The 25,796-nt window shown below is 55.9% G+C and overlaps 1 protein-coding gene and 1 long non-coding RNA gene across 11 annotated transcripts, besides 3 other annotated features; one reads left to right on the top strand and one right to left on the bottom strand.

Moving 5' to 3' along the window:
* Positions 651–700: an enhancer, noted in NCBI's record as "active region_17157". NCBI's record gives its function as "activates an Ori minimal core promoter by ATAC-STARR-seq in GM12878 lymphoblastoid cells {active_cell/tissue: GM12878}" and the evidence as "EXISTENCE:reporter gene assay evidence [ECO:0000049][PMID:35858748]".
* SLC4A3 (solute carrier family 4 member 3) lies at positions 1,527–15,868 on the bottom strand. 10 transcript variants are annotated; one of them, NR_048551.2, is made up of 23 exons: positions 15,753–15,868; positions 15,455–15,598; positions 14,928–15,093; positions 14,077–14,354; positions 13,803–13,918; positions 13,146–13,345; positions 11,382–11,530; positions 11,056–11,236; positions 10,489–10,624; positions 10,041–10,224; positions 9,519–9,643; positions 8,894–9,078; positions 8,002–8,227; positions 7,607–7,825; positions 7,048–7,196; positions 6,624–6,818; positions 5,687–5,917; positions 5,245–5,334; positions 4,629–4,795; positions 3,763–4,016; positions 2,899–3,068; positions 2,536–2,709; positions 1,527–1,847 (listed from the first exon to the last, which is right to left on the bottom strand). NR_048551.2 is itself a non-coding variant. In NM_001326559.2 (23 exons), the coding sequence occupies exons 2-23, from the start codon at positions 15,503–15,505 to the stop codon at positions 1,770–1,772; spliced, it is 3,780 nt and encodes a 1,259-aa protein (NP_001313488.2). In that variant the 5' UTR covers positions 15,506–15,598; positions 15,753–15,868; the 3' UTR covers positions 1,527–1,769. The 10 variants fall into 10 exon arrangements, 9 of the variants coding, with proteins under 9 accessions (NP_001313488.2, NP_005061.3, NP_963868.3 ...); NM_001326559.2 differs by having other exon boundaries at positions 9,519–9,618; positions 13,146–13,426; NM_005070.4 differs by having other exon boundaries at positions 9,519–9,618.
* Positions 13,961–14,662: an enhancer, noted in NCBI's record as "H3K4me1 hESC enhancer chr2:220493558-220494259 (GRCh37/hg19 assembly coordinates)". NCBI's record gives its function as "activates a minimal SCP1, AML or CMV promoter by ChIP-STARR-seq in primed H9 embryonic stem cells {active_cell/tissue: H9 hESC(primed)}" and the evidence as "EXISTENCE:reporter gene assay evidence [ECO:0000049][PMID:30033119]".
* Positions 14,663–15,365: an enhancer, noted in NCBI's record as "H3K4me1 hESC enhancer chr2:220492855-220493557 (GRCh37/hg19 assembly coordinates)". NCBI's record gives its function as "activates a minimal SCP1, AML or CMV promoter by ChIP-STARR-seq in naive H9 embryonic stem cells {active_cell/tissue: H9 hESC(naive)}" and the evidence as "EXISTENCE:reporter gene assay evidence [ECO:0000049][PMID:30033119]".
* Positions 15,488–25,135, top strand: LOC124908064 (uncharacterized). Its single transcript, XR_007088701.1, has 2 exons — positions 15,488–15,558; positions 24,367–25,135. It is a non-coding gene; the product is annotated as an uncharacterized LOC124908064 (long non-coding RNA).
* The last annotated feature ends 661 nt before the right edge of the window (positions 25,136–25,796 follow it).

Below are 25,796 nucleotides of genomic sequence, written 5' to 3'. Positions count from 1 at the left end.
CAGGGAGCCAAGGTGGACTGGAATAAAATACTTACACCCGGACAATAATCCAGGGCAGCTGGAGGGCTCTTCTCTTCCTTAGGAACACAACAAACAGCCTCACGGTGGCCTGTCCCTTCTCTCCTGACCAGTTTCGGGGCACCAGCTGTTGGCCTGAACACCTAGGAGTGTATGGTAACCGCACCTGACCGCAGGAACTTAAGCACAGCCTGAGAATGGCCCTGTGTGGCAGGCACACCTGAATGTATCTTCCAAGCTAGGGAATCCAGGAGTCGCCAACCTGGAGAGTCCTTCCTTGTCTATGAGAAACATCTGAGGCCCCAGGCTGTGGAACACGGGACATAAAGGGAAAGGTCCAGGCCCAAGTCTGGGTTGAATGAAGATCCCCAGGTGGAGGTTGTTAGGGTGAAGGTGCTAAGTGGAAATGCTATAGAAACTGCTTTTTGCAACCGGTTGTGGTTTCTCCTGCCCCCGCTCACCACCAGCGGACTCTCTCCCCTGTATGTAAGCCCCAGTAAAACCCCATGTCTCGTTTGCCAGTCTGGGTCTCTTCTTCCACCTCTTGAGCCTGGTGCCTTCCCCACTGGAGTTCATAGGAGTTCAGCACATTGGGGAGCAAAATTGGAAAAAGAGAAGAAAGCAGCAGCACCAGCTCCGGAGGAAACCGCTAACGTGGAGCTGAGGGATCCCCAGCCTCAGAAGCTCTGAGCTGCCCAGAGCTGCAGAACACGGAACTTGCCTGACCGGGCTTGGTCTCCGCGGGAGGAACTGGATGCGCTTGAATGGGCTCTCTGAGCGCCGCGGATCCACCAGGTGGCAGTGCTGCTATTCCTCAGTCGGGACAGAGCCTGCAGCATGCGAGAGCGGCCACCGGAGGGCAACGGGGGACGATGCGCTCCTTCAGGCTGGGGGTTGCCTAGCAACTATGACGCAATGGGCTCCCGCTCCCCTCAAGTCCCCCAGGTTATTTCTGGCAAAACTGAGACTGTTGCACAAGGAGTGGCCTCAGGAATCCCAGAACTGCCTCTCTAAGCCAGCAGAATCTAAAATGGTCCAGGGTCCCCAAATCCGGCATCACCCTGGCGTCTAAGGGATTGGGCTGCTATCTCTGCTCCTGGGAAGGCCAGAGATCAAGAAAAGAAGAGAGACATTTTCCATTCCCTCTGTGGCCCCACAGCCTCTGATTTCTCCAGTAGCTACAATGGAGCAACTTTCTCCCTCTCCCCTCCCCGGTTCTTCCGTCTTGCTAAGCAGGGGTTGGATTCATGGGCATGTGATCTTGAGCAGAGCTTGAGTGCCCCCACCCCTACCGCCCGCTCCTCGGCTGCACTTGAGGGGGCCTGGGGGATGATGATAAGGCCCAGCTCTGGCCTTCTGTAGTCTCGATTCTCTCTTTTTCTCCCAAGGACTCTCCTTGACTCAAACCTCTCCCTGGTTTTGATAACCCTGAAAATAGAATTCTTCCAATTCCAAATGGATAAGTATGACCTGAGAAACCAAAGATGAAACCAAGAAAGTGAGGCAGACACGAGACAAGGAGTGTGGTTATAATGAGCTCAAAGCCTGTGCCGGTCTGGTCTGTGAAAGGTGAGGCGAGGTCAACACCCCGGGCAGAAGTCAGGGGGGCCACTCTAGCCATGGCATCAGGAGTGGTTCCAGGCACATCTCTGGGTCCTGAGGAGCCCCCCAGCCCAGGGCTGGGCTCTGCCTGAGGCCCAGGTGTCAATCCCTAAGGTCTTGGGGTCTCTGAGGGGCACTGTCTTCAAGGGTCACACTGGCATGTGCAGCTCATTGTACTCATCCTGGCCATCCTCATCGAAGTTTGGTTCAGCATCTTCCGAGTCCAGCTGCAGAGGGAACAGAAGGTTGGGGAAGGCAGGGAAGCATGCTCGTCCCCTCCCATTCTCCAGCTCCTCCTCCAACCTGCAGCCCTCCCTGCTCCCTGACCTTTCCTGGGCCTCTCTGCAAGTACCATGACCCTGGGTGGCAGCACTGCCCTTGGCCAAAGCCTTCAGGTCACCTCCCAGACCAGATACCTGGCCCCTCCTGGTGATAATAATAATGATTATTATTATGAAGCTCTTTCCTGAGGCCACTTCTAGTTGCTATGGTACCTTTGTACACCATGTTTGAGTATGGATAAATTGCAAAAAGATGTCTTTTCCTCTAGTTGACAAAAACAGGGCTCAGGGTGGACACCAGTGCCACATCAACCCTGTAGCCTCTCAGCCGGGTGTTTTTGGTCAGGCACCACCTGCACAGCTGTGTGCAGCAGCCCCGTGCCAACTCCCTTACAAAACCACCATCCTAAGGCCTTTACCTGGACTAGCACTTGACCCTCCCAACAGTCCTATAAGGTAGGGTCTATGATCACCCCTATTATACAGGTGAAAATAAGATTTCGGAAGGTGAGATAACTTGCAACACAAGTTACACAAGTTTCACAACTAACACAACTAGTGGGTGGCCAAACAGAGATTGGAACCCAGTGCCCATTTGCCCTAACACTGTTTCCCCAGACCACCACCCCCTTACCGCCTGCAGCTCCCTGTCCTGGAAGAGCCGGGGCAGAAGGCAATGCCTCAGAGGCACCGTGAGCAGCAGCAGGAAGGGAAAGGCGAGTGAGGCCGCCGTGGACTTGACCACCCAGAGCAGTGCGATGCAGCCCAGCTGGATGCAGGTGAACAGATGCATCCGCCACGTCTTCACCTAGGGGAGCAGCCAGTGGGCCCCAGTGCACAGCGTCCCGGCCTGCTCCCACCCACCCACATCGTGGGGAATTTGGCTCCCAGGTCACAGCTTCTCCTTCATATTCATCCCATCCATCAATGCTCCCAGATCCCTCTGGATCCCCTTCCCGTCACCCCACTGCCCTACCCCCATGCTTCCCGGCCCTACCTTGGTCACATAGGGCTGCTCAGGATGGTGTTTTGCCGGCATGAGGATGAGCAACAAACGCTGGGACAGCTGGATACCAGACAGGGACGTGACCCCCATGTACAGGAAGATCCCAAAGAGCACAGCCAATGGGATCCGACGCAGCACAGCCCCCATGACGATGGACAGGCCTGGAGGAGGTGACACAGACCCGCCTGACCCTCAGACAGCCCCCGTGAGGATGGACAGGCCTGGAAGAGGTGACACAGATCTGCCTGACCCTCAGACAGCCCCCGTGAGGATGGAGAGGCCTGGGGGGAGGCGACATGGACCCACTGGACCAATCAACTTGGCCTTATCACCCTGAACAAGAGAAGGAGGGGCGGGGGGGGGGGCAGACACATTGGCTCACGCCTGTAATCCCAGCACTTTGGGAGGCCGAGGTGGGTGGATCACGAGGTCAGGAGATCAAGACCATCATGGCTAACACGGTGAAACCCCTGTCTCTACTAAAAATACAAAAAATTAGCTGGGCGTGGTGGCGGGCGCCTGTAGTCCCAGCTACTCGGGAGGCGGAGGCAGGAGAATGGGTGAACCTGGGAGGCGGAGCTTGCAGTGAGCCGAGATCGCGCCACTGCACTCCAGCCTGGGTGACAGAGCGAGACTCCGTCTCAAAAAAAAAGAGAGAGAAGAGGGGGCAGGACAGAGAGCCAGAAAAGGACTCCAGGAGTAAAGGGCTAGGGGAGTGCTGGGAAGCAGGTTTGGGGGTCAGATTGAGGGCAACACACAGCACATTGGGAGATTCAGGGTCAAGCCTGGGATAGTGAAGATGTAAGACCGTGGGGCCCAAGGAAGGGGGTGTGCAGGGTGGAGGCGGGCTCTCACCCACGAGGCTGGCGATGAGCACACCAGTGACCCGCTGCTCCCGCACCTCCTGGATCTGGGGCTTGTCACCAGGCGCGATGGCAGTACGCATCACTGTCAACGCATTGACATGGGTGACGGAGCGGACCGTGGCAGCCGTGAGCCAGGGCAACCCAAACAGCCCACAGAGCCCCCCCAGGGAGCCAATGAGGAGCAGGTCCAGGTGGAAACCGGAGCCCTTGAGCAGCCTCCGCGCCTTCTGGCTGACGATAAGCCTGCAGGGAGAAGGTGGGGAGCGGGGTGTGGCTGGCCTGGCAGGGGCAGGGGACAAAGACAGGCACGCACACAGAGACGAGATGGTGGGGGGAGGACGTGCAGACAACAGTTCTCCCTAGGACTGCCAGCTTCTTCTTTCAAGTTCCCAAATTGAAGTTCTCACATTGAAGCAAATGTGAGACAAATTCTCATACTGTGAATATTTAAAACACCACAAAAGCCAGATGCCAGATCTTACCACGTTATTGTGGTTTAACCAAAATTAGATACATGTGAGCATCCCTGGGTGCAAGCTTAGACTGCTAGAGTGTTCTGAGCACTGTCAAGTGCCACCCTGCAAAGAGTGGTGGCAACAGATAGATGTCATGTCAAACCATCACGGGGAAACCATGCCCCTGCCCCGGATGCCACTGCTCTCTGCTCCTCCCCCACCTCCTCCTCACCCCTGCCAGCTCCTCCACACACACTCTCTTCCTCAAGGATTGCCACCAGCTCCCACCACCCAGCACCCTGATACTGATAATGATGTCCCTGCTATAACCCTGAAACCAAGCCAAGGAGCCAAGGAGCTTGGCCTCGTCCCTCCCACCTCCTCCTCCCATCTCTCTCACGCCGTGATCTGTGTCTCCATGAAGATCAGGATGAGGACGAGGAGGGCGGGAACAGCGGCTGCCACCATCATCCACGGCGGGAAAGGACGGGCACTGCCCAGGGGTGGGATGAACCACGAGCGCTTATCGGGAGAGGTCACTGAGAGCCCTGTAGGCACTGTCAGCTTCTGCATGGCAGGAAAACAGGGTTCAGGGACACAGCCTCCCCATGCTAGAAAGCCCACCAAGCAGCCCACTAAGCTGCGTCCCCAGTCCAGGACTTCAGGGAGCTGGGGTGTGAACAGGTCAGGGGAAAATTAGTTTTGCATCCTCCAGAAGTCACTGTCCTTTCAAGGATCCAATAGAGGGCAGGGAAATGAAGCGCCTCCTCCCTGAGCCCCAGAGCTTCAGGGGACCTGTGTGGGATACTGTCATTCTGCTCCCAGCCCCACACCTGCTTCTCCCGGATTCATCACTCAGGCTCCCTGGGGAAGGCCCTCAGCCCCCAGGGCGGCCACTCCACTGGGAAAGTTGAGTTCAGGCCTGATCCCAATCCCAGGGCCCATGGAAGTGTGTTGTGGGCTCCCTCTCCTGGCCTGGGGGTGACAGCAGCTGCCACAGGCTGGGGCTCCCTCACCTGCGTGTAGGTGTCTGTGATGGAGTAATCCACCAGGACCATCACCAGGATGGAGATGGGGATGCCAAAGTCCCCGATGATGCGACGAGCCTTGAGAGGGGCCAGTTGGGGAAGGGAGCAAAAGGTGGAGGCAAGGTCAGCAGACTAACACGGGGCTTGCCATCTCTGGCCCTGCCTGGGTCCAAGCTGGAGCCAGAAGGCCCCCCACGTGCCTCTCAACCCCACAGGTGCCAGCGCAGCCTGGGAGGCTGTTGTCTTGATTAGACTTCTCTGAGCAAAGGGCAAGAAGACACCCAGGGAAGAGGCTTCCGAAGGGGTGAGGGGCTGCCCGAGCTGGGTTTTGGTCCATGGGCTGACCGGGGAAGGGGTGCAGCCTCTCTGGGGAGCTCCTACAGCAGGAATTGTGGGACTCTTGGGGGCTCCACACCCAGCAGCCACGCACCTTGCCCCCCAGGAAGCGGCTGTTCCTGAACTTGCGCAGGAAGAAGGCTATGAAGAAGGTCCCGAGCATGAGGATGAGTGAGAGCAGTGCCGTATTGGGCTGGTTCCTCGGGCTGGGGGGGCCCTCGGTGGGGGGCAGGGCACTGCCATTTGGCTCCAGACCAGCATCCAGGGACCCCTCCAGGGCCCCCTCAGGGGGGTAGAACGGCAGCAGTGGGTGCTCTGTGAACACCTGTGTGTGGATAACAAGGATGCCTTGTCACTCACCTGGCAGGTGACCTGACTTCATCGTCATCAGTACACCTGTGAGAGAGAGGGTGGCCCCTCAATACCTGGTCAGACAACAGTAATGCACGGACATCCAGCTGCACCACACACACAACACACAGAACACACAGAACACACACATACAACACACACAACACGTAACAACACACACATAACACATACAACACAAAAAAAACACAACATACCACATACACACCACACACACAACATACATACACACAACACACACAACATGCACACACAGGCACACACACGCACACACACACAACACATACATCACACACAACACACCATACTCACACCACACCCACACCCACACACACACACACACTCCTCTACAAAAGGTGACCCAAGGACACCCAGCCCCTTAGCACTGACAGCTCCCTCCCCATCACATACCTGTGCAAGTGAGTCCTTATTACTAAGCCTCCAACCAGGTGCTTGGAGTCGTGACCTGGCACCCACCCCCTGGGTCTGACTCCCTCCCCTTCAGCTCAGACCTAGCCTAGGGTGTCCCTAGAACCCCTCACTCCCAACACAGTCCCTCTCCTTGTCCCCTAGTTCTCCATACCTCCCCCTCCCATGCTGTCCTCCCCAGGGCAATGTCCACCTCCATCTCTGCCACCCCCAAGACCTCGCTGGACCTCCACCTTGTAGAGCTTGTAGAAGGTCTCGTAGATGAAAATGAGTGAGATGAGAAAGGCAAAGATCTCCTGGGTGAAAGGCGAGATGTAGCGGACCAGGAAGCTGCCTTCGGCGGCCACCAGGGCAAGGACGAAGACCACCAGCCAGAGACCAACCCACACCCGGCCAGTGAGGTACTCCAGGTCCTGGGCTCGGCAGAACTAGGTGGGGGTAGGAGCGGTCGTTACCCACAGGTGGACTGCCCTGGGTGTCAATGCCCCCTGGAATAGGCAGCGGATGAACTCCGAGGAAGAGGGAGAATGCAGGGACCCATCCCCTAGGTAAGGAAGAGTGTGGGGCAGGATGTAGGTAAGGAAGAGTGTGGGGCAGGATGTAGGTAAGGAAGAGTGTGGGGCAGGATGGATGGAGCAGGGCAAGGCTTCGCCTCACCTTGAAGAAGGCTTCCTCAAACACAAGCAGCGGCCCAGAGAAGCCAACCACAAGCAGCGGCTGAGCTCCCAGCAGAGAGAAGAGGACGCCGAGCACAGCGGTGGACACGATCAGCTCGGACACGCCCATCAGCCCCTCGGTCTTCTCTCCTGCCATAGCACGGGTAGGATGGCCCTAGCCTGGCTCTGTCTATCTGCCCCCTTCTTCATCTAGCTTGTCCTAAACTGGGGCCCCCAACAAAAGCAGAGCAGCCCCTTAGAGTGACACACAGGGCCCCTTCCATACCCCATTGCTCCCAAACCCTCCCCACTAGCCCCCAATGGTGATCACAGGATCCCTCATCCCTTACACCTCTCCCACACCCTCACTTTATAGCTCCCCAAAGGTGATCGCTGGGATTCCCTGATCCAGCATCTCTGTAAGGTGCTTACACCTTTGCTAGCACATCTAACCATTGGCCCCCTAATGTGATCACACCCAGACCCAGAATCCTGCAAGTGACACTGGGACCAGAAGTGACTAGAGGAGCCCCTCAACTCCCCAAGCCCCAGTCCCTTACCCAGCAGCCCCCCGAAGGTGATGGCAGGGCTGAGGGCTGCGAAGTAGATGAAGAGCACAGCGGCCACACACTGGGAGTGCAGCGCATCTCGCAGGTCACTGGGGTAGTGCGGGTACCGGCGCCTCACATCCCGCACAAGCCCCCCAAATACCGAGCCCGTCCGCAGCAAGGGGTCATCTTCAGGGGTTGCCTCAGAGCCCCCCAACTCCAAAGACAGTTCTGGGGGAACAAGGGGCTGCTGGGGCACAGACCACTCCCTCTGGCTCGGAGGCCCCGGGCTGTTGGGATCAGGGATGCAAAGGACTCCAGGAGTCAGGACGGGGCTGGGGTCACAGCCTTAGGGCCCTGGGATGGGGGAGTGTGTATTGGGGGCACTCAGCCTCCAAGGGTCTGACCTTTCCCAGGGGCCGTGTAGCCACCCCGTGTGGTCATCTCGACTTTGGTCTGTTCACGCTCTCGCCGCTTCCTAAGCAGCTCTCGCTGGAAAGCAGCCACGGAGCGCAGCAGGTCACGGCCCTCCACCTCGGACGGGGGGATCACAATGCTGCCATCCAGGAACTCGCTGATGGCACTTAGGAGGTCTTGCCGGTCATCTGCCTGGTAGGCAGCCTCATGAAACAGCTGGGGGCAATGAGAGGGCCAGGACCCTCAGGGACAGCCAAGGGAGCCTCCAGGAGGGAGACTTGAGGCGGGTGTTGGGTCACTGAGCTACAGGCAGGGTGGACATTCAGTCGTAGATACTGGGCCAGTCCAACAGTGTTGGCTGTTGGAACACTGACACCCATCCCTGCAGGCCAGCAAGCCACTGCCCCAAAGCCCCAGGTGCCCTCCATTCCCCCAGGAGATGCCAGACTTCCACATGCAGCAACTAAAGGGATAACACCTGGCAGAGCAGGGGCTTCCAGAGCCATTCCAATTGGATCAGCTACACCTTACAGGCTGATAAATATTGTGAACGTTGCCCCTGGCTAAAGGACCCTCCTATCTAATCCCAGGAGAAGCCACAGCAAAGACCAGCGCATCCAGCCCTCCTGATCAAGTCTCACATCACATCCAAAGCTCTGGGGTCTGGGCTTTTCCCCTTATGTCACCAGACCCTCCCACAGCCACAGCCCAAGGCTCTCTCTTCTCCCCTGGGCCAACAGCTCCCCCCACCACCCTCCAGGGCATGGCCTCCACCCAGGGGCCTCTAGCACCCTTGCCTCTATGGGCACCACTGTGGACAATGAGGGACAGGGGTAAGCAGGGCCTAGGAGAAGAGGCCTTGAGAGCCAGCACGCGCCCAACCTTGTCAGACATAAGGGTGGCAATGGAGCGCCCAAGCTCGTGATAGTCAGTGCTGGTGTGGCTGGGCCCCAGCATCACGAAGAGGAAGCGGACCGGGACAGGGACCTCAAGCACAGACTCCAGGAGTACAGCCTCATTCAGACGCACGAAGGCTGCTGCAGGCTGCTCCAAGAAAGGCACACAACCTAGGGGAAGAGGAAAGCACAGGGCGCTGGGCAAAGAGAAGCAGTCAAGGCAGGCCCTGGGGCAGCTATCTAGGGCTATCATGGACAGTTGAGCAGGTTGTAAACTGCGCAAAGAAACCCCAGTCTAAAAGGGCACTATTCGCTTATGTGTCTACACATTGATTACAATTCGCCAACAGATGGAAACTCAGGGTATTAAAGAAGTGTTGCTTTTTTTTCTAATTCCAACTCCAAGATAGCAGAAAACTGGACAGGAAGCAGGCAGGGGACTACGAAAGAAAGGGCTGGGCTAAGACAGGTTGTGAGGAAGAGCAGGGACCAGGTGGGAGCCTGGAGGGAGATGGAAGAGGCGGCCTCGAGGCCAGAGCTCAGACAAGCAGGCCCCCAGGAGAGGCACACACACACTGCAGACCCTGCCCCCGGCGCCCGGCCCTCCTCACCCACAAGCACAACCGTGGCCTCAGCATCTTCAGGGATCTTCTCCAGCAGCTTCAGGCTTTTCCCCCGGTGACCATCTCCCCCAGGCATGTGGAGGGGCTTCTGAGGACGCAGAACTGGAATAGGGCTGGGACCCAGACCGGAGGCCGTGGCAGGCCCTCCCAGCCCTGGCTCCAGCCCTGGCTCTGAGACCTGCTTCTCCCTCCCAGAGTAGGCAGGTACTGCACTGTGGCCCCACACTGGGAGCCACCAGCTGGGATGTGGACCCTGCCTCGATGTCCCCAACTACCACCTCAGCCTTATCTTGTTTAAACAGCTCCTGTGGGTCTGCCACATCATCACATTCAAAACTCCTGCGTCTCAGGGCAGGGACCCCTCATGCGGGTCTCCTCTAGGTCCCCGAATGCCCAGCATGATGCCAGCAATCCAACCTTCCCAACCCACTCAGTGAAGTCGTCGATGACCTCGACTGAAACTGGACACCCTCTCAGTCCCCTGGCCCAAGCCAAAGCAAGGGCACTGACCTCCTTGGCGTCAGGGTCATGTGGCCAGAGTGGGGCTGGCTCCCCCAGGTCATCAGCCATGGTAGGCACCGCCCCATCAGGGCCATGGCTGGGAGTTGGGTGATGATTCCCCAGAACCGAGTTCATGCTGGAGCTCGATGGGTTTCGGGGAAAGAAGCCACTGTCCTTGTCATCGTTGGGATGGCTGGAAGGGGCAGGGTGAGGCAGGTGAGGAGGAGAGGCTCATGGTAGACTGAGGTCATGAGGTGAGTAGTGGAGGGTCAGGACCTCCATCCCTCTGCCTCAGTGTAAAAAGAAACTTTATAATGATTGAAAGTGTCAAAAGATAGAAATGAGCTCTCTGTCACTTGTGGCATTCAAGCAGAGGCTGGGAGCCACTTGGAAGAGGATGTGCTCCTGGAAGGGCAGCTGAGCTGGACAGGCCCCTCCCAGGGACCCACCCCGGCACCTGTGCTTCAGTAGCAGGGTACGTAGGACGCTGGCCCTGTCCTCCGGCCGGATCTGGTCAGACACAATCATGGTCTCCACCACGAGGTGTGCAATGCCTGGCAGGGTGGTTTGCTCCAGGTCCAGGAGGGCAGCTCCTAGGGGGACAGTCAGGCACAGAGAGGGCACAGTCCCATCAGACAGGAAAAATCTCCTCCCACTCTGCCTTGCCCCCCAAAAGCATGCGAATGTGCTGGAAGGGCAAAGCGCCCAATGTACCCAGATGGATACACAGCTCCATATTGCCACAGGCCAGTCAGAGAGGGGCCGTGAAAATGGAGCATGGAAACGAGGGCACGGCCCCTCCCCACCAAGGAAGGGGAAGCCATTTGTTGACTGACTGCATGCACCAGATACAGCCCTGCCCCTCGGGGCTCACGGGCTGCCCAGGCAAATGGACCCCCACGGTCCCAGGTGGCAGTTGGATCTTGCCTGTGCCCAGGACTCTAGAGAGTGTTCCTGGGAACTGAGCAGCCTGGCACAGACTGAAGAGGGCTTGCAGCCTCGGGCCAGGCCTGGGGGTCCCTACCATGGGCGATGGTCCTCCTGAGCTCCAGAAGGCTACGGAAGGAGAGCGAGGCAACATGGGGCTTCCCCCAGCGCTCCGTCTCCTCCTCCACGTCCTCCTCAAACTTGATCCAGCGGGCCGTCTCCCGCCAGTGGGGCTCCTGGCTGCGGTCCAGCATCAGCTCGTTCAGCTCCACGAACACCTGGGGGGCGTGCCAAAGGTGAGGGCCCAGGGGCCAACAGGTGTGGGGAACACCGTGATGGGGCAAGGCAGGGGGGCAAAGAGAGGAGGGCTCCGGGGCCGAGGGGCATGAGGAAGCCACAGGCCCACCCAGTCAGCATCCTGACCTCATGAGGCCTCCGGTCCAGCTTTTTCTTCTTCTTCTTCCTGCGAAGGATGGGGGCCAGGCCGCTGGGACTGCCCCTCCCGCCCTGCGTCCGGGAGGGCTTTTTCACTAAGTGTCGCCGCACACCAGGGTTGTCCTCCAGTCGGTGACCTGCAGAGAAGATGGGCTTGGGGGTCCCACAGGTCCAGCTGGGGCCCTCGGGGTCACGGCCCAGCTCCTTCTGCCCAACCCATCTACTTGGTGAGCTCTACAGTCACCAACAGGCCATGCCGACGGGAACCACATAATCCCATGTGGCCATTTCATTGATAAGAAGACTGAAGCTCAGAAAGAGGGAAGGACCTCCCCATGGTCACCTGGGACCACCGGCCAAGATGCAATCCAAAGGTAGACCCAGCTCAGTCCACAGCCCCAGCCAGACCCTCCAGCCCCTGCCATGGCCACTGCCCCTCCTTCTCCATCTGGGTCCCATGACAGGCACTGAGTCAGAGTCCCCAGGCACTGAGCCCCCAACATTTTCCGTGCACCCTATCTCAACACCCACGTCCCCTCCCCGAAGGTACACAGCCCAGTAGACTCAGGCAGGGCTTCGCTCCCTTCCTCCTGTCTGCCCCACCCAGGCCAGCAGCAGTCGGGGAAAGGCCAGCAGCCCCGTTACTCACAAGTTGGTGGCCCTGCCATGGGGCCCAGCTGGCCCCTGATGGACTCCCACAGGTCACCATCCTCAAAGTCCAGCACAAACATCTCTAAGTCTTCCGGGGCCAGTGAGTCTCGAGGACTGGGGGCTGGATCCCTCCCAAAGCCCCAGCTATTGGTATCCCCAGGCCCAGGGCTCAGTGCCCCATTGGGCTCAGGGTCCTTCTCCAGTGGGCTCGTCATTCTCCCGGTGGCCGAGACCTCGGCCTCCGCTCCCTACCAGACCCCTCGGCTCTCCTACAAGGTGGGAGCCTGGACGGGGTGGCTTCTGTCCAACCAGAGCTGAAGGTGGCACAGCCTCCCGACCCCAACTCCCCAAGTCCACAAGCCTGCTCCCTGCGGCATCCAGCCCCCACCCTGGGTCTGTAAACACGCCCTCCCCCACCCCCCATCCTGCTGCTACTGCTGCCATCGGATTGTTCCTGTCCCTGTCCTCAGGCCCTGGCAACTTTCCATGACGTATTGAGCTCAAAGCCCTACCCTTCCCCCCACCCCACCCACACACTGTGGCTCGGAGGAGGGGGAGGGATCAGTGATGCCCCTGGCCTGGGCACAGAGCCCCACGGGTGATGACAGGTGGCACAGAAACCAGGGCACTGATAAGATGGAAGGAATGTGCCGAGATCACAGCCAGGCCCCCCCCAAGGGTAGTGGGATGGGAGTGAAGGGTCCTGACACAGGGAGAGGCAGGGGTCCGGAGCAATGGCTCAGACTCAGGGCCTGGTTTGGAGGGGATCAAAGAGGAGACAGAGAGTTCACCCCGAGAAGAGGGGCCTTGGGGAGGGATACAGTAATGTGAAAAAGAGAGCTGCCTTTTTCTAGGGGTGACTCAGAGGACAGAATCAGGACTGAGGCGTGAGGTGTCAGGAAAGGAAATCTCAGCTCTGGCCGTCAGAGAGGGTGGCTGGGTGAGGTAGTGAGGTCCCCATCACTGGCCACATCCCAGCAGACAGGGATTCAGAGAGGACTCAGCCCTTAGCAGGGGACAGCTCAGAGCCTCTCCAAGGTCACTCGCAGGCTGGGAGTCCGTCGCAGTGGACCATGGGGGCTGCCACAAGGTCTCACTCACTCTTCATGTCGTCCAGGTCTGCAGAACCCAGCATCTGGGCCTCCGCCTCATCTGTGGGCACCTGCTGCTCTGGACCACCTGGGTTGCCCAGGGCACTGCCTGGGCACAGTCGCTCCCGCAGGTCATAACTGGCCGATGGGCTCCAGGGCCGGCTTTTCTCCCCAGCGAGTCGGGAGGCCCGGGCCCGGGGGCTGGGGGAGCTGGGGAGGCAACACAGCAGCCTTGGACTTGACAGGGCCAGGTCGGTGGTTCCATCACCGTCCCTCAGCTCAGAGCACGGCCTGGAGTAGACCCTGAGCATGAGACCCAGGCCCCTCCTGGGCAGCAAAGGATGCTGACCCAGGCCCCCTCCCCATCCCGTGGCTCCCCCTTTCCTCCACCTTTCTCCTCACCCTCTCTACTCTGTCACTCTCTCCTGGGGAACTCCTAACCTCTTCACTCTGCTCTTCTCTGTTTTTCTCCCCCCCCCCTTGTTCTCTCCTCCTTGTAAATCATGAGGACAGAGAAGGATCCCCACCCCCCTCCCACACCCTGCTCCTCTTTTCTCAGGGTCAGAGCTGGGGACACTCCCCAGGGTCAGGAAGGAGGTGACTGCCAGGAGCTCTGGACCCTGTGGCTCTGGGCTGGGCCCTGCTGAGTAGAGGCTGCAGCCAGTACCTGCTGGAGTGCTGGGGGCTCTTGTCAGTGTGTGGGCCCACCGAGGGCAGGGGCTTGGTGACAGCAGCCCTCCCAGGGAGGCCTGGACTGTCATCCTCGTCACTTCCAATGGAGAACTGCAGACATAGAATGTGCCCTGGGGCCTTGCCCCGACCTACCATACAGCCCCCAACCCTACCCAGCCTCACACAGGCCCCCAACACGCACTCCTCTCCTCCTCTCTGTACCCCTCCCTGACCCCTGACCTGCCACCCCTCCAAAGGGAAGCCCCTACCTTTGCCTTCTGTGGGGTCCCTGAGTGGGGGGGCTCCACAGGTTCTGCCTCAGATTCTCCTTCCTCTTCCTCCTCTTCCTCCTCTTCCTCATCCACTCCAGCTCCCCCCTCCTCCTGGATGGGAGGGGTCCCCTCGGAGGGAGGAGCAGAGGTTTTCTCCTTCTTCCTCTTTCTCCTGGTGTGCCGGGCAGAGGTGGGGGGCAGCCGCCGCAGCTTGTGGGGTGGAGGCAGGCGCGCTGAGAGCGGGTGGTGGGTGTGGTGGGATGTGTGCCGGTGAACTGGGGGTGCAGGAGATCCGGTTGAGGCCCCCACAGCAGAAACAGGGGCCCTCCCCACCCGAGGGCACACACCTTCCAGCTCAAGGCCGCAAACAAGGGCACCCTAGTCCTTCCTCCAGGGCCATGACCCCCCAACACCTGTGTCCACGTGCCTGTCATTGATGAGGTCTGGTGGAGTGGGAGGAGAGGGTGGATGGACAGGGAAGGTCATGAAGGGGGCTGGGAGGGGAGACGTGATACAGCAAGGAGGGGAAAGGCGGAGTTGGACTAGCCGAGGTGGGACAAGGAGGGAGTGAGTGGGGACGAAGGGGAAGGGGAAGGTCACCGTGGAAGGGCCCAGGCCCAGCTCCCTAGATCTCCCCTGGTCTGGGGCCCACCTCCCCAGGCAGGCGGACAGGCGATGGGTGGGGGAGGCAGGATGACTGAACACGGCATGTGGCCCAGCACAGAGTCCAGCACAGTGTCCGGCACAGGATGGCACTGGGTGACCAAGCCGGAGGTGAGCGCGGTGATGGTGGCGATGAAGGTGATGGTGGCGAGGGCGGCCGCACTAGGGGTCCCCAGGCTACCCACACTCAAAGTCCCGCTCGCTGTAGCTGCGGCTGGGCTTCTCGGGGTCCCAGGCCGGGGGCTTGCTGATGAGGTCCCCAAACCTGCTCACAGCCAAGGTCTTGCCCAAGTCATCGTCCTCCTCCTCCACGTCTGGACTTAGAGGGGGCTCCTCCAAGGGCACCCGGACCTGCAGGCCCAGACGGCCTCTGCTAAGGACCCCTGACCCATGAAGGCCCCACACCCACCCCAACTCCAAGCCCTAGTTGGGGGAGCTCAGCAGGCTCTCACACCATCGGGCCCCCTCCCCTTGCTCCCAGGCCTGTGTCAGCATCCCAGAAACCACCCTCTCTGGGCTCCCAGAGCTTGTAAAGAGAGAGGGCTACGGATCTGGAAAATATCAAAAACCCCCCTCTTTCTCCGTAACCCCCAGCCCAGCTCATCCCTGGATCTGGGGGGTCCCGGGGTCGGCCAGAGGACTCCTCTGCCCACCCTAAGGTCCCTCCCCTCTCCTCCCCCATCTCTCCCCCGCCCCCGCGCGCGCCGATCACCTGGGGTAGGGGGGAGGCGCCCCCGGGCGGCGGGATCACTCCGTTGGCCATGGCCAGGTAGGCGGCTGGGGACGCTCTCGCTCACTAGGGGACCCGAGACCCAGGTGAGAAGGAGGGGCCACTGAGGGGGCCTAGCGGGGAGCCCTGGGGGAGGAGGGCGGGGTCAGGTTCCTTGCGCTGGCGCCCCCCACCCGGGAGCCGGATGCACGCTCCCGGCCCAAGCGCCCCTCCGAGGCCCAGCCACGCCCGGGACAGCCCGGGTCCCCCGCCCTGCCCGGCGTGCCCCGCCCCGCGGTACCTCGGGGCTCCGGAGCCTGCGAGGCCCAGGCGGGCCGCCGCGCCCCATGTCCCCCGCGCTCTCTCCCGAGCGCAGCCGCGACTGCCGTCCGGCCTCTCGCAGCGCAGAGCCGGGCTGGCCGGGCGGACGCAGGCGCCGGAGCCCGCAGCCCGCGGCTCCACCTCCTCGCGCTCCGCTCCGCACCTCCGCCGCCGCCGCCGCCGCCGCCGCCGCCGCCGGGCCGCACAATGGGAGCGGGCGGGCCGTGACTCACCCCGCCCCGGCCGGCGCGGCCCCCACGCGCGGGCCCCGCAGCACCCCACCTGCCCGTGCGCCCCTTCTCCAGGCGCCCCACGCATCGCTGGGGGCTGGGGCGCGGCCCGATATTCCCACAATCCCCCAGATTCGCTCCCCAACCCTGCTTTTAGCCTCCCCTCCCCTCCAGAGCCCAGGAAGCCACCCCCTCCGCAGACACAGGCCCCTCCAGTCTTGGGAACGGAGCTCACAGACCCCTGGAAGCACCCACCACCTCCCCTTTCATTTCTACCACAGCCTTGCCTCTCAAAGGCCTGGCTTCTGTCGCCTGGCACCACCCAACGTTTGACCTTGACACAGTACCTCCCCTCCTCCCGCCTCAGCTTCCCCAGCTGTAGCGAGAGGGGCCTGCAATAGGGGTGTTCCAAAGTTCTATGCAACTCTAAGACTGTGTGGCTCCGTTTCCACATTTCCTCTCCCTTCTCCCCCTATCCCTGAGGTCACATCTCATTTTCCAAGGGCAAAAGGTCTTTCGAAGGAGCCACTGGACCCCAATCGGCCCCTATCCCGAGATCAATGAAACTGGACTTCTACACAGTGCGATGCCATAACAGCCCTGTGACCTTGGTACTTCACCGCGTCTGACCCCTGGCCTCATCTAGATCTCAGCTCAACCCAAGGAAAGATTTTCTGTGTGCATAGCCTTCCAAGGGGAAGGGAGCTAGGATCTGTTGGACGCCCACATTGTCTTGTGTGTGCTCACAGTCCTGTGCTAGGTTGGCCCTCTCCAGACTGGCTGCCTCGTCTCAGGCATAATAATAAGAGGAGCTGTTATGATTCCCATTTGGTCGGCAGAGGACAGTGGAGACTCAGGGAGGCTCGTTACCTGCCATGGTCACAGCTGGAAAGCAGGCTGCCGACAGGTTTGGGCATCATTATCCATGTATTGAAGTGACTCTCCAAGCCACAAACAAAATTTTTAACTGAAAGAGATGAACTGTCCTCCTAAGTCTCACATGGTGAGTCCCAAGGTGGGAATTCCTAGGGTGGGAATCAGCTATGCCTAGGCAGAGCACAGCTGTGCCCCAAAACTCAGAATGGGAGACCCAGCTGTTGGGAGTTGAGTAGTGTCCCCCAAAATTTATACGTTGAAGTCCTAACCCCTGGTACATCAGAGTGTGCCCTTATTTGGCAATAACGTTCTTGCAGATGTTAAGATAAGGGTGGACTCATCCATTATGACTGGTGTTCCAGTGAAAAGGGGAAATTGGCCAGGTGCGGTGGCTCACACCTGTAATCCCAGCACTTTGGGAGGCCAAGGCGGGTGGATCACGTGAGATCAGGAGTTCGAGACCAGCCTGGCCAACATGGTAAAACCCTGTCTCTACTAAGAATTAGCTGGGCGTGGTGGCACACGCCTGTAATCCCAGCTACTCAGGAGGCTGAGGCAGGAGAATTGCTTGAACCCAGGAGGCAGAGGTTGCAGTGAGCAGGGATCGTGCCAGTGCACTCCAGCCTGGGTGACAGAGCAAGACTCCATCTCAAAAAAAAAAAATATATGTATATATATATATGGGGGAAATTTGGACAAAGAGACGTGCATTCAGAGAACGCTTTGTGAAGACTGGAGTTATGCTGCCACAAGCCAAGGAACTACCAAAGCTAGGAGAGAGGCCTGGAACAGATCCTTCCCTAGTCCCTTCAGAGAGAGCCTAGCCCTGCAGACACCTCGATGTCTGGCTTCTAGCCTCCAGATCTGTAAGACAGTAGATTTCCATTGTTTAAGCCACTGGGTTTATGATACTGTGTTACAGTAGCCCTAGCAAACCAGAGCTATCCCAATTCTTTATTCCTCTGAGCCAGGCAATGTGGTTCCAAGTCCCTACCTTGAATTTTGTTTTGGTAGGGCCTTCACGTCCTTAGAGACACTCAAGAGCCTTGGAACCTTTCCTGGTCGGCATTGCACAGGGGCTCTGGTCTTCAATCCACCTCGACATTGTGTTCCCAGCCCCGCTCCTCTAGTCTGTAAAGTCAGACAGCAGTTACTTTAATACTGAGACAGCCTGAGAAGGGTCTTGCCAACCAGGGACCCCTGGTGTACCAGGCCATGTACATCCTGCACACCAAGATGCCATAAGGGTGTCACAGGACTTGTCCCTCTGAGGTTCCATCCACCCCAGAGAGGATGCTGAGCACAGGCCCTCAACTTTTGGTAGCCCCAGACCCCCATTCTTTCAGTTGGAGACCCGCACCCCACCCAGAGTCTGAGGCTTCGTTCTCTACCCTTACAGACCTTCCTCTCTCCTCCACCCCTCTGAGATGATGGAGTAAAATCTCCCCTTGAAGAGCCTTTAGACACCCATGTTTATCTCTTTCTTTCCAGGCTGGGGGGAGTAAGATGATGCTGACACCCACCAACTCATCCTATTAGACATAAACGCATGCTTTCATTAGGCCCGCTCTCGTCTTTGACATCCTGCCTGCGGCGCACCTGTAATTGTCAGTCCCCTACAGTGTGTTCCCGATGGGGTCTTCATTTCTGTGACAAAAGAGCACTCCTTGCATGCACAAAGGATGGCCACTCTGGGTATGTGTCAGCTTCTAGCTTACAGCCTGTAGACACTGAAATGGTGACAGGAAAGGTGACAGCAAAGGCTGAAGCCAGCGACAGGCCAGCTTAGAGCAGTAGCCAACTGTCACACCCTTCCTCACAGTCCAGTCTCACAGGAATGTCCCCACCCTGCATGCTGGCAGCATAGGACACTTGTCTGCACATGCAGCAGCACCACAGCCTGTCCCTTAGGTCCGAAGGAGCAGGAGCCATCCCGCCACACCACCCAGATTTGGAGGCAAAGCACACCGTTCTCTGGGCTCCCCATGAATGGGCCAGAAGCCCTCGGGTGGATTCCTCTGATTCTGTTCCCTGAAATCACTCTGCGGGTCCAGCGTGCTGGGAACTAGACCAGTATGGCAGATATCTGTCATCTGTGGCCACCCAGATCTTTGAAAACCCACTTTTACATTTTGGTCATTTCTCATAAGTCTTCTCTTGCCAAGATAGAAGCCAGAAAACCATTGCAGCCAGGGCACAGATACTGACCTCGGTTCCACCAGTCAGACTCACCTGTGCAAGACCTGAATTTAGAAGTGAGCATTGTGCACAGGAGACTCAGACTTCTGCAGGCATGGAAGGCAGAGAAGTTCTCATGTTATAGCTGGTCATTAAGTCCTTGCTCTCTATTCCTCCCGAGAATACCCTCTAATCCTCATTATTTTTTAGTAAATTCCCTTCCAGCTTAAAGTGGCTGTTATTTCCAACTAGTCATCCTGACTGCTAGAATCAGGGGAATGGGCTCTAAGTCTAGGTCATGGGATGAGCAGGCACCAGACATTAGTGATGCCAACATCAAGGAGCTGGCAGAGAGGATGTGAGGGAATGGCCCTCCTGTTAACAGGCCTGGGTAGCCCCTGCCTGTCTTATGATTACTGTGTCATTCGCCATCATCTCCATCCAGTGCTCTTAAGGATAACAACAATGATAACTTCATTATTTTAAATGCAGGTAGTGCTTTCCAGCTTACAAGCCACTTTAATATTCATATTCTCATTGGTTCCTCACAACAACCCTCTGTGGTAGAGCATCTTAACCCCATTTGACAAGTGAGAAAAATGAGGCTTGGTAAGTTTAATTGGCTTGCCCAAGGTCTAAGGCTCATAGGCAACATGGCCAGAAGCAGATGCAAGGGCTTCTGGCTTTATGTCCTATATTTATCCTCATATATCACATACCACAGTACCTCCCCGCACCATGTCTTTTTTTTTTTTTTTTTTTTTTTTGAGACAGAGTCTCGCTCTGTCACCCAGGCTGGAGTGCAATGGCACAATCTTGGCTCACTGCAACCTCTGCCTCCCGGGCTCAAGCGATTCTCCTGCTTCAGCCTCCCAAGTATCTGGGACTATAGACGGGCACCACACCCAGATAATTTTTGCAATTTTAGTAGAGATGGGGTTTCACCATGTTGGCCAGGCTGGTCTCGAGCTCCTGACCTCAAGTGATCCACCCATTTCGACCTCTCAGAGTGCTGTGATTACAGGCATGAGCCACCATGCCCAGCCTCCCCCACCATGTCTTGATGCCCTCCCACAACTGTTAGACCTTCCATGCCATGGGCACAAACTGAAATAGACCACTAACTTCCCAGATCGACTTTTCAAGGAGACTGCATCTTTGTGACTAGCGTCTGTATAGGGGAATAGTTAAATGTGAGACCTCTAGAGCCAAGCCGCCTGAGTTCATAGCACAGTTCTGCCACTTGACAGTTGTGTGACTTTGATCAAGTTATTTGCCCTCTCTGGGTCTCAGATTGCCTATCTGTAAAATGGCAATAATAACAGGGTTGTTGAGAGGATGAAATGAGTTCATTTGTATAAAAGGGTGACTGGCCTATAGTAAGTGCTCAACACTGTTAGCTAGTTTCAATACTACTACAAATCTAAGAGACAAAAATACCAAAAAGTCCTCAAATAACTTGCACTGTGAAAAAATGGTGAAATGTACACACGTAAAATAAGCAAAAGCTTGTCCTTACCAGAGCAATAATTCTAAGAGCCATATTAAATATGACAATTGCAAACTCTAAGAAGGTGGGGACATCCAGAATGACTTTTATCCCCACCAGGGTAGATTGTGACACTCTTTGGTCATGGACCAATCTTTGCCTTGGAAAACCTAACTTGGCAGGCTGGAGAGTTTCTGGAATAGAGCAGGGTATGGGTTGAGCTAGCCCCAGTTTCACTTAGACTCTTGCCAAAAGTATCTCCCCACTCCCCACAGCAGAGCACCCAGTGCCATTTGCTGCTGACTGGCCTGGTGGTGAGTAAGATCTTATTTTTACACAAGAGATAACATGGCATTGAGAAAGAGCTCAGACTCTGGAGTTAGAGATGCTATATGTAAAATGCCAGTTGAATGCTTGGCACAAAATAGGTGCTCAATAAATGACATTCTTATTATTTACTATCGTTGTTACTCTGCGGTGGTTTATCCCATCATAATTCATGGGTTGCTTGGTAAATTTGGACTCAACTTTGAAATAAATCCAATCTCAGGACAGCACCAATGTCCCTGAAGTTTCTCCCACCCCTGCAGAATCCACCTTCCAGCTCCCGTCTTTACTGATGTATTTGGCTAACATAGAATTTTGAGATACAGATCTATGTCCTTGCATGCTCCTCTTCTGCCCCTACCCAAGCAGGTAACCTGCTTCGAGTTTTGTTATTTGGGGCGAATGGGTAGGACAGAAAGCAGAAATCGCCTACGAGCCCTTCTGCCTTTTGTTCTTCCAGAGACAATGCTTTAGGGAACCAAGGGAGGTTTGTGAAGGAAGAAAGAGGAAGAGGGTTAGCAAGAGAGACAGTGTCTTGGCTGGAAGATGGGGAAGGAGTGGAGGAGCAGACCCTTTGACCTTCCCCATCAGCAAAGCAGGAGGGTCCCCAAGATGCAGAGAGGGGAGAAAGTGAAGTCAGTGAGTCCTGCTAACCCTGTGGGATGGGGGCTTGAAATAAAATCAGGCTGTTTTGCCAGTGTTATGAAGTAACATTTCACGCACCCAGTGTGTAAACTGAAGCTCACACACTCACTCAGAACTCCATGCCAGGTTGCGTATATATTGGTGAAAAAATCCTGGTCCCTGTTCTTGGGTACCTTAAAGACAACAAACAAGCAAACACAACTTATAATTAAAAAACATGGCAAAGGCCATGAAGGGAAAGGACAGTTACAGTGAACATTCAGGAAGTAGGATTAGGGTCATCCTCTGTAAGAAGGTGACAAGGAGGAAAAACCTGAAGGGAACGAAAGAACTGGCCATGCCATGAAGGGTGAGTTGGAGAAGTGGGGAGAGAAGAACATTCTAGGCAGAAGGAAGAGCCTGGAAAGGCCCTATGGCAGGAAAGAACAGTCTGCCTGGATATTTAGATGATCTGGTTTGTGTTTTTCTGGAAGAATGTGGTTTCCCTGGAAGTTGGTGCCACAAGGAGATGCATAGAAAAGAACTGAAGGTCAGGCATGGTGGCTCACGCCTATAATCCCACCACTTTGGGAGGCCAAGGCAGGTGGATCACCTGAGGTCAGGAGTTCAAGACCAGCCTGACCAACATGGCAAAACCCCATCTCTACTAAAAATACAAAAATTAGCTGGGCCTGGTGGCACATGCCTGTAATACCAGCTACTCGGGAGGCTGAGGCAGGAGAATCGCTTGAACCCTAGAAGCGGAGGTTGCAGTGAGCCAAGGTTGTGCCACTGCACTCCAGCCTGGGCAACAGAATGAGACTCCAGTCAAAAAAAAGGAAAGGGACTGAAGGGGGAAGTAGGGTGGGCACTCTGGAAGGCCTGAGAGGCAACACAGTTGAGAGGAAAGAGCACAGATTCCAGACAGATGGCCCAAGTTTGACATCTAGTATCCCCTTGGTGAGATTCCCTGTATTTAACCTGAGCCTCAGCTTCCTCACCTGTGAAATAGAGATCACACTTTTCATTCAGGGTGGTCGTACTGAGTGAAATAACGTGAACAAAATTATTAGAGCAGGTGATCAGAAACAGTCACTATCGCAGTATTCTCCTACTGTAACCTTACCCAGCCTTCGCGACCACCACCAGGGCACCTTTCCCCGTTTCCTCCCTGGACCATAAGCTCCTTGGAGGCAGGAGCACATCTGATTCATCCTTGGATCCCTGCCCCCATCTTCTCACATACATCCTGGCACGTTCTAAGAGCTCAATAAATGTCTGTGGAATTGAAAGCAAGTGCACAAGTAATTATAGTAACTAATAAACTGAAGAATGTTTTTGTGGAGAATGGAAAAGTCACTGAGTCCAAAACAATCAAATGACAAAGATGGGCCAAAAGAACAACAACTATGCTATGGTTCACTCCTTTCCCCAGAAGCGTCTGAAGACATATCCCCTTAGAAACACATGGGCAATAAAATGCAGGCTTTTTTTTTTTTTTTTTTTTGAGATGGAGTCTTGCTCTGTTGCCCAGGCTGGAGTGCAATGGCATGATCTCAGCTCACTGCAACCCACTTCCCGGGTTCAAGCAATTCTCCTGCCTCAGCCTCTTGAGTAGCTGGGATTTCAGGTACCTGCCACCAGGCCCAGCTAATTTTTGTATTTTTAGAGATGGGGTTTCACCATCTTGGTCAGGCTGGTCTCAAACTCCTGACCTCAGGTGATTCACCCGCCTCAGCCTCCCAAAGTGCTGGGATTACAGGCGTGAGCCACCATGCCTGGCCCTTCCCTCTTTTGATTACAAATAGTATTTCCAGGCAACAAAGCAGCTTGTGATAAGTAATAGGCAGGTTTTTGTTTGTTTCTTTGTTTTTTGAGACGGAGTCTCGCTCTGTTGTCCATGCTGGAGTGCAATGGCACGATCTCAGCTCACTGCAACCTCTGTCTCCCGGGTTCAAGCAATTCTCCCTGCCTCAGCCTCCCAAGTAGCTGGGATTACAGGCACCCATCACCATGCCCAGCTAATTTTTTGTATTTTTGGTAGAGACAGGGTTTCACCATGTTGGCCAGGCTGGTCTTGAGCTCCTGACCTCAGGCAATCCACCTGCCTCAGCCTCCCAAAGTGCTGGGATTACAGGCGTGAGCCACCGCACCCGGCCTAGGCAGGTTTTTAACCAGCACTTATTTCATGTTTTATGGACCACATAGTACTTCCATATACATGATTACACACAACAATTTTGTGAACTAGGTAAGTTACTGATCAGTCTCATCCCCATGCAGTAGATGAGGGAACAAGGGTGAGCACTTTTGTGATTAAATATGGAGCCACAAAACTAAGGCATAACCCTGGATGTTTTAGAGCTAAATCCACCATCTCTTTTCCTATACCACCACACCACACCACCCCTTGAGTAGATGAATAGATAGATGTGAAATAATGCATGTGCTCAGTGATGGGCAAAACATAACACACAGAACCATAGCTGAATTTTCAACCACAGCCAAACAATCTGGGTAGGGTCTCTTCAGAAGCTACCGCAGCATCTTGACAAGGGTGGAGGATGTCGCCTCCACGTGGCAAAGACAGACCCTTTCCTACAGAGAAAAAGAGACAGGTCTGTCGAGCTGGCCTGCTCCCTGCTTCTGAAGTCTTAGTCATTGATTTTTCTATCACTTAGTTAAGTCACTAACCCCCCTAGGGCCTTATATAAATTTTTAAATATAATTTTTGAATTTATAATACAGAGGGTTTTTAATTTTTCTAAGTACAAAAAAAAAAAAACCCTCAATACCACCTCTGTGCCCCTTCCTCCTCATCCTCATCTTCATTCCCCACCACTGATTTCCTGCTTCTCCCTTGGATTTAGTTTCAGGTGAGAGGATCCCTTCTCTCCACTGCTTTCCAGGAGCCAGAGGTCTGCGTCCTTCATGCCAGCAAGCCCAAGGCCAAACAGAGGCCAGGCAATCAATAAGCACTTGCTGGAGGGAAAAGGCCAGACTGAATGGAGGAATCCATCTCTGGGAGTTGTCCAGGGTCAAGGGCCTCCTACTGACACCTGTGCTGAGCACCAGTGGGAAAGCAGTCACCTTTGCTCAGAGGGCGGAAGGGTCAGAGGGGCAGGTGCACCTGGTTCATCTGCTCCTAGTGAGGTGCAGAACTAAAGGGACAGACACCTCCAGGAGTGGTGATGACCTCACACTTGACCTCTGTCTTCTGCGTCACCAAAAAAAGAGCACTTTTGCATAAACACTGCAGAAGACTCCACTGCACTGTTCTAGAAAACAAGGTGTTCACAGAGATGGTAAGCACAAAGAAATGGAAGGAACTCCTCTTCCAACTCCCTGCCTCGCACTTCTCTACCAATCACCTTGAATGACTGGAGATTATTCTGCCCCATCTGCACCATGGCCTGATTTGACCCGGCTTCTGGGGAAGTGCCTGCAAACAGGCCTGGTGTGAAGGGCAGCCTCTGGCCAGGGAAAGGCCTTCCTCAGGACCAGTACCAGCTCCTGTTTGCAGATGGTCCAAAATCACTGACTGAGAAGGGGCTGTGTACCTTGCCAAGAAAGTGGACTAATATTTTTGGGAAGTTTTAATTTGCTTCAATTAAAAATTGAGGGCAGTTCTGAGCAAAACAGAAGTAGGTGAATTTATTTTCTGGGCCTCTGCACAGATCTTTCTGGGCCCTCAGCCTCTGCAGCTGTTTCCAAGAGGCCTCTACCCCAGCCAGCATTTCCCAACTAGCCGGTTCCATGACTCCTACCATTCCCCCCCTACTCTCCCGCCAAAGCAGGCCAGACCTGCCAGGGAGAAACTAATCTTAGAAATCATCTTTTTTCTTTCTTTGAGACGGAGTCTTGCTCTGTCGCCCAGGCTGGAGTGCAGTGGCACCATCTTGGCTCACTGCAAGCTCCGCCTCCCGGGTTCACATCATTCTCCTGCCTTAGCCTCCAGAGTAGCTGGGACTACAGGCGCCCACCTCCACCACTAATTTTTTGTATTTTTAGTAAAGACAGGGTTTCACTATGTTAGCCAGGAAGGTCTCCATCTCCTGACCTCGTGATCCGCCCGCCTCAGCCTCCCAAAGTGTTGGGATTACAGGCGTGAGCCAGTGCACCCGGCCAATCTTTTTTCTAAATGGAAGTGAATGGCTTAATTACCCTTTTCTGGGGAAAATTGTGTACATGCACTGAGATTTTAAGCAGATACACAAAAATTGGGTAAGAATGCTTGAATCTAGAGTTAGGGGGTCAGGCATATGAGAGCAACTCACTCTACATTCTTAAGTACAGTATA

Source organism: Homo sapiens, chromosome 2, assembly GCF_000001405.40.
Source record: "Homo sapiens chromosome 2, GRCh38.p14 Primary Assembly".
Taxonomy (NCBI): Eukaryota; Metazoa; Chordata; class Mammalia; order Primates; family Hominidae; genus Homo; species Homo sapiens.
The sequence above is the reverse complement of the archived record's forward strand: the minus strand, read 5'-3'. Positions and strand labels throughout refer to the sequence as shown.